We start from the raw sequence: 13,105 nt of genomic DNA, 5'->3' as shown, positions 1-13,105 counted from the left end.
GTGGAGCACAAAGAGTGCTCGGCTGCCGCCCCGCTAGCCCCGACCTCAGAGCTGAAGACATCGACCCGGCCGCCGCCCCGCCAGCCCCGACCTCAGAGCTGAGGACATCGACCAGAGAAATTGGGAGGCCAGCCCGAAGTCGCCCTGCATGTTAGTTGGGAGCTGCTATTATAAGGCGGTGCTCCTGCCTCCGGCTCACCCCTTACACCAGAATAAAGGGGTTCTCTGTTAAGAGAGTTGCCACGTTTCCTCCCAACTCTAGTCAACGTCAGCCAAAGACTTCGCTTTCTTCCCAAACCAGGAGTAGGTCATTGAATGTATTGATTCAGATCTTAACGTGGGTGTTGAGTTAGAGTGGGTAGCCTCTAAACCCATTCAATGAATGTTCCAGAATGTTAAAGGCATAGTAATGAAATTTATCCAGCATACTCAAATACTGTTGATGTGGTTGCATATGTGTAGACCTGGTGAATTGTTCCTTTGTTCATGTTTCCTGGGCTTCTACTCCTGGCTTTCTGCAATGCTCACACTGTAGGACCCTCTTTCCACATCTCTCACCTTCTCCCCCTGCTCCCCACCCAGTACAGACCAATGACCTCTGGCCCTGTTCTCCATCCCAGCTCCAGACACACACATCCAATTCCCTCAACTGTCCACATCATGCTGGTCACCACTGCCCCCTCTCTCCCAGAAGGGCCAGTCCCCGCTGCCTCCTCTCTCCTGGAAACCTGCTCTCCTGGCTATAGTTCCTGGCCAGGATATCGCCCCCACCGTCCATGCACCCCAAAGCAGTGAGGGTGTCACCTCCCCTGGGTCTCAGGCTTGCCCCGAGTCTCCACTCAGACTCCGAGTCCCCTCTGTCCTCCCCACTGAATTTCTCAGCTTGTCCACTCCTTTGCCCCCAGTAGACACCTCCTTCTGCAGACCCTCCTCCACCTCTCTTGGGAAGACTTTGATAAAAGCTTCTAGCTGGCTCCCTGTCTGCTCTCTCACCACCCACATCCCCATCAAGCCCACCCTCCATGTTGCATCAAGCAGCTCCATGACCACCGGAACACTGGGCAGCCTCTAAGCCTACAGAAGGAAGACCAGGACCCTAGGCATGAACCGCAAGTCCTCCCTCTGTGTAGCAGCTCCCCCTGGCCTTATCCACACTGTATCCCAGGAATGCAAAGCCACCACTGTTCCCAGCCCATCTTCACTCCTCTTCATCTCTTCATCCTTCTGCCTGCACTACCCCCTGACTACCTGCCTGACCAGCTCCTATTCATCCTTTGAAACCCCACTCGGGCATCCTCTCTGAATGGTCCTAGCCCCCACAAGGTCAGCTAATGTATGCCCCTCTGAACTCCTGCCCTGCTCAGCTCACATGACTTATGCGTAGCTGCCCTGTGGATGCTCCTATCCTTTCCACACCATGGCTGTGAGCTCCATGAGGCCTGTCTCATCCTCTTCCAAATCCTCAGAGCTTCCACTCTGCTCAGCACACAAGAGACGCTTAGCACAGGTGTGTGGAGCCCAGACTCCATCTCCCTCCTCAGGAACACATCACACTAACCGCCTATACCCTTGGCAGGATGTGACAAGAGGGGCACGTCCCCTCTGCGGGCTCTTTCCAAAAACCCACAACCCCGATCTAACCATGACAACAACCACAGACGAACCCAAATGGAGGGACCATCTAGAAAATGTGTGATGGTGCTACCCCAAGTCTCTCCAAGCAAACAAGCAAAGGATGGGAAGGACCTTGCTGTGAGTCTGAACCTGTGGTTTGTAGCAGGGGTAGGTCTCTGCGTTGCTCCGGCAGTTTACAGTCAGGAGATCACTCTTACCAGCCACATGATGGAAATCAAGAAGGCGGCTGCCCCTCTTCGCCTGGTCCCCCTGCCAGTCCCCGCCTAGCAGGCACAATGGCCTATTTTAACAGCACATGTCTCCCCAGTGATTACCCCTGGCCTTGGCTTGGAATGAAATGCCCTGATTGGAAGGGCCCTGCTTGAACTGGCTCTGCCTCTGTCTCAGCCTTCACGTCACCCCCGCTCTCTTCTCCCTGCAGGCCAGCCAGGCCGGAGGGACCCCTTTCCCCGCTCACACACACTGCCTGTGCTTGGTCTGCCCTCCCCTGCGTGCTCCTCATACGCCCAGCTCCTTCCGATCCTTCTGGTCCCCTCTTCAATATCTCCTCCTGCAAGTGGGCTGCCCTGCCCACCTGAGTGAATTGCACCCTTCCAATTCTCTATCACCACTTGGGAGTTATGTCCCAAGGTGCAGCCATCCTCCTCATTTGTAAGTCCTCGAGTCCTGTCCACCTCCCAGCTGCACTGCAAACTCCTGCAAGCAGGGCTGGTGCACAGGGTCTGCAGCCCGTGCGCCCAGGGCCCCACTGCCCCAGGCAGGCCCTGCCCTTGCACCCTTCATCCTCACCGAGGGGCAGAGAAAGTAGGGGGTGGCGGTGGCTGGAGTTAAGCGTCATGGAAAGACTGAGTAAGCCCTGGAGCCCGATAGCCAGAGCCACGAATGTGACTTTCGGGAGGTGGATCTGCTGCAGAGCCTGCTCTGGAACACGCAGACACAAGCATCCACTTCACGAGGCTGCAAGGATTAAATAAGATAATGTATTTCAAGAGCCAAGTGCAGTGTCTGGCACAGAGTGCATGCTCATTATCCTCTAATTTTTTAAAGATATGATTAGGCTGACAGTGCATGTTGTTTAAATCCTTGCCAAAAGCAACCCCGTTGCTATCGTTCTTCCGTATGCTTGTGCATGTTTTATCTCGACTGTAAGTCAAGAGAAAACAGTCCATTAAAAAAGAGACGTTAACCTTCTACCTTTCCCACATATCCCAAATTCCAAAATGATTGTAACAATACGTGTTGAAGCAAACATTTCTTTTTCTGTGGGTAGGAAATAAAAAGTGAATTTTAAAACTGTTCAGAGTTGGAGGACAGCAAGTTCAATGCATTTGCACATGTGCCCTGCAGTCAGAGAAAATCAAAAAAGAAGACAAATCTGAACAGAAAAATTAAAGCAAGAAAATGAGACCTTGAAGCTCAGCCCTCAAGCCTGTCTATGCCTTCAAACCTCCTGGTCAAATCTAAAGAAAACCAAAGTCTTTTCCTGAGTATTACCTACCACACTTACCAAAAAAAAAAAAAAAAAAAAAAAAAAAAAAAAAAAAGATGTAAAATGGTGGTTAAGGCATAATTTATAGTAATAAAGACAAATGTATCTCAAGGAAAACAGAAAGCATAAAAGAAAAGAAAGACAGAAACCCCCAAAACAATGGGCCACTGTGGCGAGGGCTTGAGTAGTGACCCTGGGCCAGGCACAACCATGCTCCGGGAACAAAAATAGAATCACAGCATTTGCTCGGAGAGAGGATGCATGGAGTGGCGAGGACGCGGCCCAGCCTGAGAGACCTGTTGTAGGCTCTGTCCTGGGTGCATCCAGGGTCTTGCTGGATCACTGAGACATGAGAGGGATGAGAGGGACGTCGTGCACAGCAATAAAGAGACCTCTGGTGAACTCCCTCCCCATGAGAGTCAGATAGTCTCTGCTTCTGGCTCTGCACAGACTGGCTTATTTCCACTAAGGCCACTAAGGGCCACTAAGGGTTGCTTGTCACCCTGACAGGCCCAAGCAATAGCCAAAGCTGTACCCTGGACAGAGTCAAGACACACAGACTGTAGCAGCTGGGAGGAATGTTAAAGCCCTTGCCTCCTAACCCTGCAGGCTGCAGGTCAGAACGGGGAGCTCAGGGTCAAAGCGTCAGGTTCAACCCATGGTCCAGGGCCCCGTGAAGACAGCAGGCTGCCTGTCTTCTGAGCTCAGGAGATCAGGCCCAGACTCTCAAATGAACAATTACTCTCCTGCCCAGGACTCTGGCATAGGAAAGTGCCTAAGAGCTTTGATAGCAGTATTGCCAGGCAGCCTGCTCCAGGTCTCAGCACAGCAACTTTCCCTTATTATGTCCTGCGCCACCAGAAAACGCACAACTGCACAGAGTGGGGGCGAGTCCCAGGATCCCAGCAGGCCGGACTCCAGAGAGAGCAGGAGGGGCTGCCTTTCAGCTGAGCAGGCCACGGCTGCTGGTGAAAACTCCTGGAACCTCTGGTTTAGGTTGAGTATGATGGGTTGAATGGTGGTGGCCCCCAAAGATATGTTCACATCCTCCAACCCCTGACTGTGACCTTATTGGGAAGAAGAGTCTTTGCAGATATTCTCAAGTTAAGGATCTTCAGATTAGATCATCCTGGATTAACTGGGTGAGAACCAAACCCAATGGCAAGTGTCCCTATAAGAGACAGAAAAGGAGGTGACAGAGAAGAGAAGACCACGTGATGAGGGAGAGGCTGGAGCGATGTGGCCACAAAACAAGGAATGCCTGCAACCCCGCAAGCTGGAAGGGGCAAGGAGGGTTTTTTCCCTGGAGCCTCCAGAGGGGCTGTGGCCCTTGGTTTTGGACTCTGGGCTTCAGAACTATAAGCGAATAAGTTTGTGCTGGTTTAAGCCACCCAGTTGGTGGTCATGATTCATGGCAGTCTTAGGAAACTAATATAATATCCTCAGTTTCAAGTCCAAGCCAGGCTTACAAAGGTGTGAACCACTGGAAGCTGGCACCAGGGACACTCCCACACTCCAGTCCCACCCTCAACACTGTCCCACCCAGCAGCCCCCTGGTCTCCAGAGAGGGAGCCCCAAGAGAGCCCAGGAGCCTCCGTGGAAGACACCCTGGCCTCTAATGAGGTCTGAGCGGGAGGAAGCAGAAGTTGGATGAAGCCTTCAAATGTCCGCCTCGCTCCAGGGTCAGAAACAGAGGGAGAGGGGGAGGGATGAGAGACACAGGAAAAGGGAGCAGGCAAGGAGGGCAGAGAACAATGATCACCGCCATATTGATCCTGCCACCACCCTGATGACCACACGGCTCTGCTGAGCGCGTCTCATGAAGCCTCCTGGGAGGCCTGTACAACACCTGCCCCTGGGCGACACCGTCCCCACACACAGGAGGGAAGAGGGTCCTCTGCCTGTCATTGGGGTCACTGTCCCCACACACAGGAGGGAAGATAGTCCTCTGCCTGTCACTGGGGCCACTGTCCCCACACACAGGACGGAAGAGGGTCCTCCACCTGTCATTGGGGTCACTGTCCCCACACACAGGAGGGAAGAGGGTCCTCTGCCTGTCACTGGGGCCACTGTCCCCACACACAGGAGGGAAGAGGGTCCTCCACCTGTCATTGGGGTCACTGTCCCCACACACAGGACGGAAGAGAGTCCTCTGCCTGTCACTGGGGCCACTGTCCCCACACACAGGAGAAAAGCAGGTCCTCCACCCGTCACTGGGGTCGGCTCTGTCATGTCACCGTATGCCCACCTCCCTTCTTTGCTGACAGAACCCCAGTGTGCACTGGCCTTGTCCCTGCCCATGGGCCAGACCTGGCATCATCATTGATTGTGGGACCAGGGCCTGGTAGGGGCCACAGAAAAGGCTCCTTTCCCATGGAAGGGACAGTCCTTCTGTATTGTCCACTGGACTCCTGCATATGACATCAGGAACAGCAACAGCCATCCTGCTGACGTTCAGGGAGGCGGATGGGACAGGCTGCACAGCAAGGGTCGCAAGGGCCAAGCAGAGAGAACCCCAGGCTCCCGGGGCTGTCTGCTCGGGCCTCCTCACGGTGGCAGCATCCATTCCCCTCCTTTTCAGGCGTTTTGAGATGCACGGTCTATTCTAGAAGCCGAGACTATCCCGGCCACTACTGTCCCACAGCGGGTGAGTCCTCAAATGGCACAGACATGATTTTTCTCCCTAAAACTCCCTCTGATGGCATGGAAGAGGAATCGTTTGGCTAATTCATTAGCACAAGAGAAACCTCATGAGTGACACCAGTAAGTAAATTTCTCTTGTCCTTGTGTTTCCCGCTTTCCCAGGGACATCCCTGAAATGGCCTGGTCCCTCCCCTGCAGGTCACTGCCTGGAGGAAGGTGAGGGCCAGGAGCTGCGTGAGGTCAGGATCAGGCACCTGCCAAGCCAGGCCCTCGGCCACACCAGCTCCCACTGCCCCAGGTGGGCTGGGGCTTCAGTTCAACGGCAGATTCCTTCTTGGCATCGCTTAGCTGAAACTTCCACTCTGGAATCCTCAAATGCCCTGGGTTCTGGGATATTGTTTGAGAGTGGAATGTCCCCAGGCTCCCTGAGGGCTCTGAGGTGGAGGGTCTGAGCCCGTGCACCCTAAATAATGAGAAGGGGGCAGACAATGGGGGCTGACGGGGCGTCCAGCATGCACTGTTCCCTGCACTGCACCAAAGGCCTTGCAAGCTGTGACCTCTGTTACCCCTCGTCCGTCACCTGTGATGTGAGCATCTTAATTTTATTTTATGGATGTGGAAACCGAGGCCCAGAGAGGTGACTCTCCCACAACCACAGGGCCAAGAGGTGATGAAGACCCTGGAATCCAGGTCATGGGGTCCCTACATCAGCAGGGACCCAAAGGCTGTGTCAGGGAGCTTGAGCATTGTGGGCCGCTCTGAGTGAAGGGCCCTGTGTGGACAGCGTGAAGAATGCTGCCCGCCGTGTGGGGAAAGCTGTCCCAGTGTAGGTTTTTGGTAGATGACCTGTGGGGCCTCCCTCCGCTGGCCAGCCTCACCTCCACCCTGGGCTGCTGAGGAGGAACCGACCTCGGATATTCACTTAGGAGACAGGAGAGCCATCCTCAGCCTTGTGCGGATGGAATCTGGAATCCAGGACTCACCCACTGTGGACAGTAGCGGCCGGGATGGTCTCAGCTTCAGGAATAGAGATGTTGAATCCTTTCATCAAAGTCAGGCGGTGGGGCTGGGTTTACACCTGGGTCTCCTGAATCCCACCCCTGCACTTCACTTGCTCAATTAACAAATATTTCTTAGGGGTTGACATGAACCAGGCACAGTTTTAGGCGTGGGGAACCCAACAAGGAACAAAATGCACAGAACTTGAGCCCATGGCAGCTCCTGTGCTGGGGGGACGGAAGGCAACGAAGAAACAAGTGAGGCACTTATGTGGCAGCAGCAGGTGGGGCTGAGACGAAGAAGCCACCACATGGGAGAGCGCCTCGCATGCCTCGTCTGCTGCGCGAATGGTCTCGAACATCTCAGCAAGAGCAAACCTCTCCCTGCATCCCCCAAAACCTCCGTGGGATTGCAATGTGTCAAACTGATCCAGTGGCATCTCTCTGGTTGAGATGGGAACAGGGGGGTCCTGCCAGGGCCCACCGCACCCCAGCACCCTCTCACCCTGAGACTCATGGGCAGAACATCAGGTCCGTGGGTCCCACAGGGAAATTTGTCTGCCAGCTGGAACTCTTGCCTTGGATCGGCTGTTTTGTTCTGGCCAGTCTGCCCGAGCCAGACATCAGCTCTGCTTCTCAGAGCCTCAAATGCTGCCCCCGCTGAGAGCCTGGCCAGGCTGTTCCCTGAGGGTGGTAGTATGCAGGTCCTTCCTCTGGGTGGCCCCTGCCTATGGGAGCCTGCCAGATTCCCTAAGTGACTCCACGGGGGCTGGCCAGCCCAAGGATGCTTCCACACTGAGAGGGAGACCCTGACAACTTGGACCCACAGGCAAGGAGGGAGCTGCTTCTAGGGCGCTTTCCGGAGAACCGTTGATGGTAATGAATGGCCCTTTGTCTAAAAGGCTCGGAAGTCCATAATGGTGAACACCCAGGCTACATTGCAGTCCTGGTTCCAGAGAGAAAGGAGCCACCCGGGACGCCTCTCTGGGCCTTTCTCACACCTCTACACTCCTTCCGCAGTGGACATGGATCCAGTCACAAGGGCAACAAGGTGGGTGAGATGGGATTCTGAACAGTGGAGAGTTGGTGCTCTTGGGACTTGAGAGGAGTCTTTTGACTGTGGAAAGGTTTCCAGACAGAAAGTGAGCCGTGGGGTGGAGTACTGAGACGAGGGGTAGAGTACTGAGATGAGGGATGCTGCTTCGGAAGCGAGGCTGAGCCAGGAGCTCCAAGAGCTCACCCTTTCCTCCCCACACTGGCCTGTGGCCAGCACAAGGCAGCTGCCCCATCCTGAGCAGCTCCACCTCGCCGATGGCCTCCCCACTCCTGCTCTTCATTCCTGGGCTTGCTTAAACTTATCTTAATCTTTGGGATGGCCTCAGTTTCCTTCCCCTCTCTCCTTTCTTCAGTTTTTATTATTATTGCCAGCTCCTTACTTGGACTTCGTGAAGCACTCACTCTAGAATGGCTGATGAATTGGATTAAAAACCTGGAAATTGTTAGAGGGAAATCATTGTCAGAGAGCCTGGTCACATGTGTAATCAGTTTCTCTATTACTAACAAATGTCCGGGAAGCCAACAAGGCCCAGAGTTAGTGGGCTACAAAACAGGGGGAGTGACGCCTGGTCTTGCTGCCCACAGAGTGGACGCCTGCGCCAGCTGCATGGATGCCCTCACTTCCTGCCTGACGGATGAGGGTGTCACCTCTTCACTGTGACCCGCCCCCCCCCACACACACACACAAGTCACTGCCCCTTGCTGTGCCCCTCTAGCTCTTGTGTCAAAATCCCCAATTCACTGACCACTGGGACTTCTGCATAGCCCAACGCCGGGGGACCCTCCACATCATGGGTGAATGGGCCTTGTGGGGTGTCCGTCTGCTGGCCACACTGTGCCTTACAGTTCCTAGGCATACAGTGGCCTCCCCCAATGTCCCAAGCCCTCCACACTCAGCTCCTTACAGGAATCGAGCCTTGGACACTTCTGCAGCCCTGTGCCCACTGCACTTGGCACAGGGTGGGGACTCAGCAGGGCTTGTTCTTGACCTCCCATCCTGCACCCTATGTTTGCCTCCTGGAGCTCCTGGCCCCATTCCATGAGGATCCGCTGCTCCTGACGCTGCCTCTGAGCACTCAGGAGTTCCCTGTGGCTTCCCTGGCTTTGCTCCTGGGAGCTCAATCCATGTATGTGGAGTGGAGTTGTTGAATGTCACGGTGACATTCTGGGATGCGCCTCACCTTTGTATTCCCGGCCCTGAGGTCCACATCCACAGACCCATCACACCCCTCCTCACTGCCTAAATACAGCAGCCAATGAGGCAAAGTCACCCAAAGTGCCCAAAGCCTTATGTCAACAGGAACTTTTCTGAAACCAAAACCCCCAGGAGAACTTTAGGATAGAGAAGTGAAGGGAAGCTGGAGACAGGCCTGGGATGGTGTTTCCTGCAGACCTGACTGCTCCAGCCTGAAAGCCTCAGCTTCAGAAACAAGGAACCAACAGGCCCCTCCTCCCCTCCACACCTCACCCCCAGCCCAGGAACATCCCACAGGAAGGTTTCCAAGTCCTCAGTCCCCCATTCTTCTCCCAGAACCTGCTACCCAACCTACACCAAGCAGATGAACAGCAGGCTGAGGGACACAGTGTCAGGTCCTGAAAAAGTGGAGACAAGGAGGCCAGCTCAGATGCGGGGACGCTCCTCATGGCCCCTGGTAGAATCTGTGTGTTTGCATGGATCTGCTGAGGTTTCCCATGTCAGCCTGTCAATAGGAGGTGGATAATTGACTCTCAGGTTCAGAAACTCAACCCTACCTCATGCACAAAGCCCCTCTACTCCATCCTAGGAAAATGGTCAAGTGCCTCCTCCTGAATGCCTTCCTTGACGGGGACCTCATCACCATTACTTCCCACTAGATGCAGAAGGCCTGGGGAGGCTTTGCACTCAGCCAGCTTCTCCTCACTGGGCCAGGAGCGCACAGAATTAGTCTAATCCACAGCCACATCCTCCAAACATTACCACCGCGGTTCAGTCCCTCTCATTCTCTGACCAACACGGCCCATCAGCTTGAACACTGAACACCCAGAGCCTGCCCCCACCCCTCTTGAAGCCCAGCCTAGGACTCGAGGCCATGCTCTAGAGGGGATGTGGCCTGAGCATCTTCCACAGCCTTGACGTGGTTGGCTATTTCCGTCTCAGGTCTCCGTACAGTCACGCCCTTGTCCAGTCTCACTCTATTTACAGCGGCCTGACTCCTCCAAGGCATTTTCAGCCTACCCGTTGCTAAAGCAACTCTTTGCTGCCTGACCATTCTTTACCAGTGGCTTTTCTGTATCTAAGAGTCAGACTTTAAAATAACCCCTACTGGCCGGGTGTGGTGGCTCACCCTTTTAATCCCAGCACTTTAGGAGGCCGAGGTGGGCAGATTGCTTGAGTCCTGGAGTTTGAGACCAGCCTGGGGAACATTGCAAGACCTTCATCTCTACAAAAAATACAAAAATTACCCGGGTATGGTGGTGCGCATCTGTAGTCCTAGCTACTCAGGAGGCTGAGGTGGGAGGGTCCCCTGAGCCCAGGAGGTCAAGGCTGCAGTGAGCCAAGATCACGTCACTGCACTCCAGCATGGGTGACAGATTAAGACCTTGTCTCAAAATATCAATAAGTAAATAAATAAAATGAAATAACACTCATTGCTTAACTACACAGGCATTTGAATATCTTATAAAAAACATGCATGTAAACAGCACACAACAAGGCAAAATGGAGAAGCTACAAGTATATGAAAGAACAGACCTGGCAGAGAAAAGTCCTCCAGTTTCTTGAAATAAGCTGGTTATTACATCCAAGCAAGCTTTTGCGCAGGCTTCCTGGAAAATAGAGCACAGAGGGAAGCATGACAGGTTTCCCATGGCTGGTAAAAGGATGCCTACTAGGCAGGTAGTCCAGACCAACTTTTCCTGGCAGGAATTCATAAAGGAATATGCATCGTGTATCTTTTCATGTTCCATGAAACTTGGAACTTTCCATGTGTTCCATGAGGTAGCATCATAGACAAATTACCCCCAGTGGGGCTGGCGTTCCTCATGCGGCAAGAGAGGAGAGGCCTCTGAAGCTCACACTGGGGTGCAGAAGCAGCTCCATCACAGTCACATTTCAGCATGTGGTGTTCGCAGCAGAATCCAGCCCAGGGAGGTCTCTTTGCCTCTGGAATTGTTTCCAGCAAATTCAACATCTTGACAGACTTCTGTCATTTGCAAATTTCAGCCATGGGTCTTCCACATTGGCATCCAGTGACACTGATCACGGGACTGAGCAGGCAGGTCCAAGGGCACTGACTCTGTGTTCCTCCCAGGGGCTTCGACCCAAAGACGCCGACATGGCATCCCAACTGGGGCAGTCTCAGACTGGCCAGCTTCGCTGTGGTCAGGAATACTGCACACCAGATGTGGGGGGGTCCACCAGGGAGAGAGGGGCCACAAGGAGCCGAGGCCAAGGGCTGAGCACACAGTCCCAAGGGTGGCTGTGCACCCTAGCAGCCTGGAGGACCCACGGGAAGCCCAGGAGGCTTCTGGGCCCCAAAACCCCAGCGTTGCTTTCAGATGATCTTTACGTTATTGAAAACTTCATTGTTTTAAATTATTTTTTCCTAGGGTTCACTCTGCCTCACAGTTTTCCTTTCATTGTTTGAAGTATTGTTGTCTGCTTGTTTTTATTGTTTCTGTTCTTAGTTTATAAAATAAGATAAGCAGGAAGCAGGGTTCATGGGGTGGTTGGGGGGAGACTTCACTTCATCCAGGCAGGCAGGCCTCTTCTTCCTTCCAGGAGGCCCCAGGACACCCTTCCATCCCCCACACCTCCACTGCCTCCCAGGCCTCCCACCCCCAGCACGCCAGCATCTTCCATGGGGAGTCCCTACAAGATTCATGCCCTTCTAGACCAACCGTGACTCACCCGACTGGAAGCCTGTCCGTGCTGTCAGGCAGGTCTCTGAGAAAGTACCAGGCTAAAACCCGGTCTCTGCCTCTGAACCCACCGGGCACCAGGCACACCTTGCTAACCCATCAGTCCCCTTCAAAGCCTCTCACCAGAGTGCTGCCAGCAGCTCCTCCAGTCAGGACCTGTTCTGCCACCCAACCGCACAGCTTAGTGCCTTCCAGGTGCCTTCCACACCTACGAGGTACCACATATGGCGATCTCATGAGGCTGTGCGACACGGTGGGGAAAGCGCGTGTCTTGGGTTTGGGTTCCCAGCCAGCTCTTCTGTTTCCGTACCTTGTGCTCCTGCACAACGCCACTAGTCTGCTCCAAGCACCGCTTGCGTATCTGTGGAGGGAGCAGTGGAGCCAGCCACCCGCAGTCTCATAGGGAGTGAGAACCCGCTTGTGAATGTCCTGCCACAAGTCCTGTGGTGTGTTAGTATCTGTCACTGTGATTACGAAGATAACAATAGGCTGCTCCGGAGGGGTAACCTCCCCATCACTGGAGCACATGACCCACACCTGGGGACTGCGAATGCCATGGGGGGCAGGGCACAGGCATCAGCCAGATCCTGGGGGTTGTGTGACCCCTGTGGACTCTTCCCAGCTACAGAGGTGAGTCCCTTCTCTTTGTGCCTCTCTTGTGTCCAGGCCTCTGTGGGATGGTGACGAGAAGACAAGGGACGCACCAGCCCTCCTCCCTAAGAAACAAGATGGTCACACAATCAAAAACTGCAGTGGAAAGGCAGATAGGGCTACACAAAATCAACAGAATCGGGTTAGAGCAGAAGAGAGAGGATTGAAGATGGACATCCACTCCACCTGGCCCCACAGTTGGATGGAACGAAGGTGGGAGGGAGGGAAGAGGTGAGGGTGAGGGAAGAAGAGCTCTAGGGGTGAAGGCAGAGGCGAGAAGGGGCTGCACAGCTTTAGCTCCCTGCAGAGTAAGCAGGGGCACCATTTTCCAAACAGGCCAAGTCGCACGTCTCGGAGCAACTCTTCCCTCAACTGTACCCATCAGAGTTCTGCTCCCCCTCTCTCTTCTTTTGAAAGAGGCATATGCTCCCCCTGTCCCCACTTGGTCATCTCCCATTTGCTGCTGGCCACCACCTGGTCCTCGGGTGTCTCCCGCTTCCCTGACCCGGCTCACGGCTGTGCTGGGCACTGGAGCGCTGGATGCACCTGCAGCCCTGGGCTGCTCTCACAGCTCCCTCTGCTCCATGAATTTCTCTTGCCCTGGACAGATCCCCTGTCTGGTTCTCTCCTACCCTCTTGGATTTTTCCTGCTTGGCCCATTTCTTGGATCTTACATCAACTCCCTGATTCTTCCCCTAAACTCTGCTCCTTTCCCAGTGTCCCCGAGACCATG

At 54.2% G+C, this 13,105-nt stretch overlaps 2 annotated features.

The window, feature by feature from the left end:
- Nucleotides 6,812-7,311: an enhancer, noted in NCBI's record as "H3K4me1 hESC enhancer chr2:237535423-237535922 (GRCh37/hg19 assembly coordinates)". NCBI's record gives its function as "activates a minimal SCP1, AML or CMV promoter by ChIP-STARR-seq in primed H9 embryonic stem cells {active_cell/tissue: H9 hESC(primed)}" and the evidence as "EXISTENCE:reporter gene assay evidence [ECO:0000049][PMID:30033119]".
- Nucleotides 10,569-11,431: an enhancer, noted in NCBI's record as "H3K27ac-H3K4me1 hESC enhancer chr2:237531303-237532165 (GRCh37/hg19 assembly coordinates)". NCBI's record gives its function as "activates a minimal SCP1, AML or CMV promoter by ChIP-STARR-seq in primed H9 embryonic stem cells {active_cell/tissue: H9 hESC(primed)}" and the evidence as "EXISTENCE:reporter gene assay evidence [ECO:0000049][PMID:30033119]".

This window comes from Homo sapiens, chromosome 2, assembly GCF_000001405.40.
Source record: "Homo sapiens chromosome 2, GRCh38.p14 Primary Assembly".
In the NCBI taxonomy this organism is placed as follows: domain Eukaryota; kingdom Metazoa; phylum Chordata; class Mammalia; order Primates; family Hominidae; genus Homo; species Homo sapiens.
Note: the sequence above shows the minus strand (reverse complement) of the source record. Positions and strands in the feature narration are given on the sequence as shown.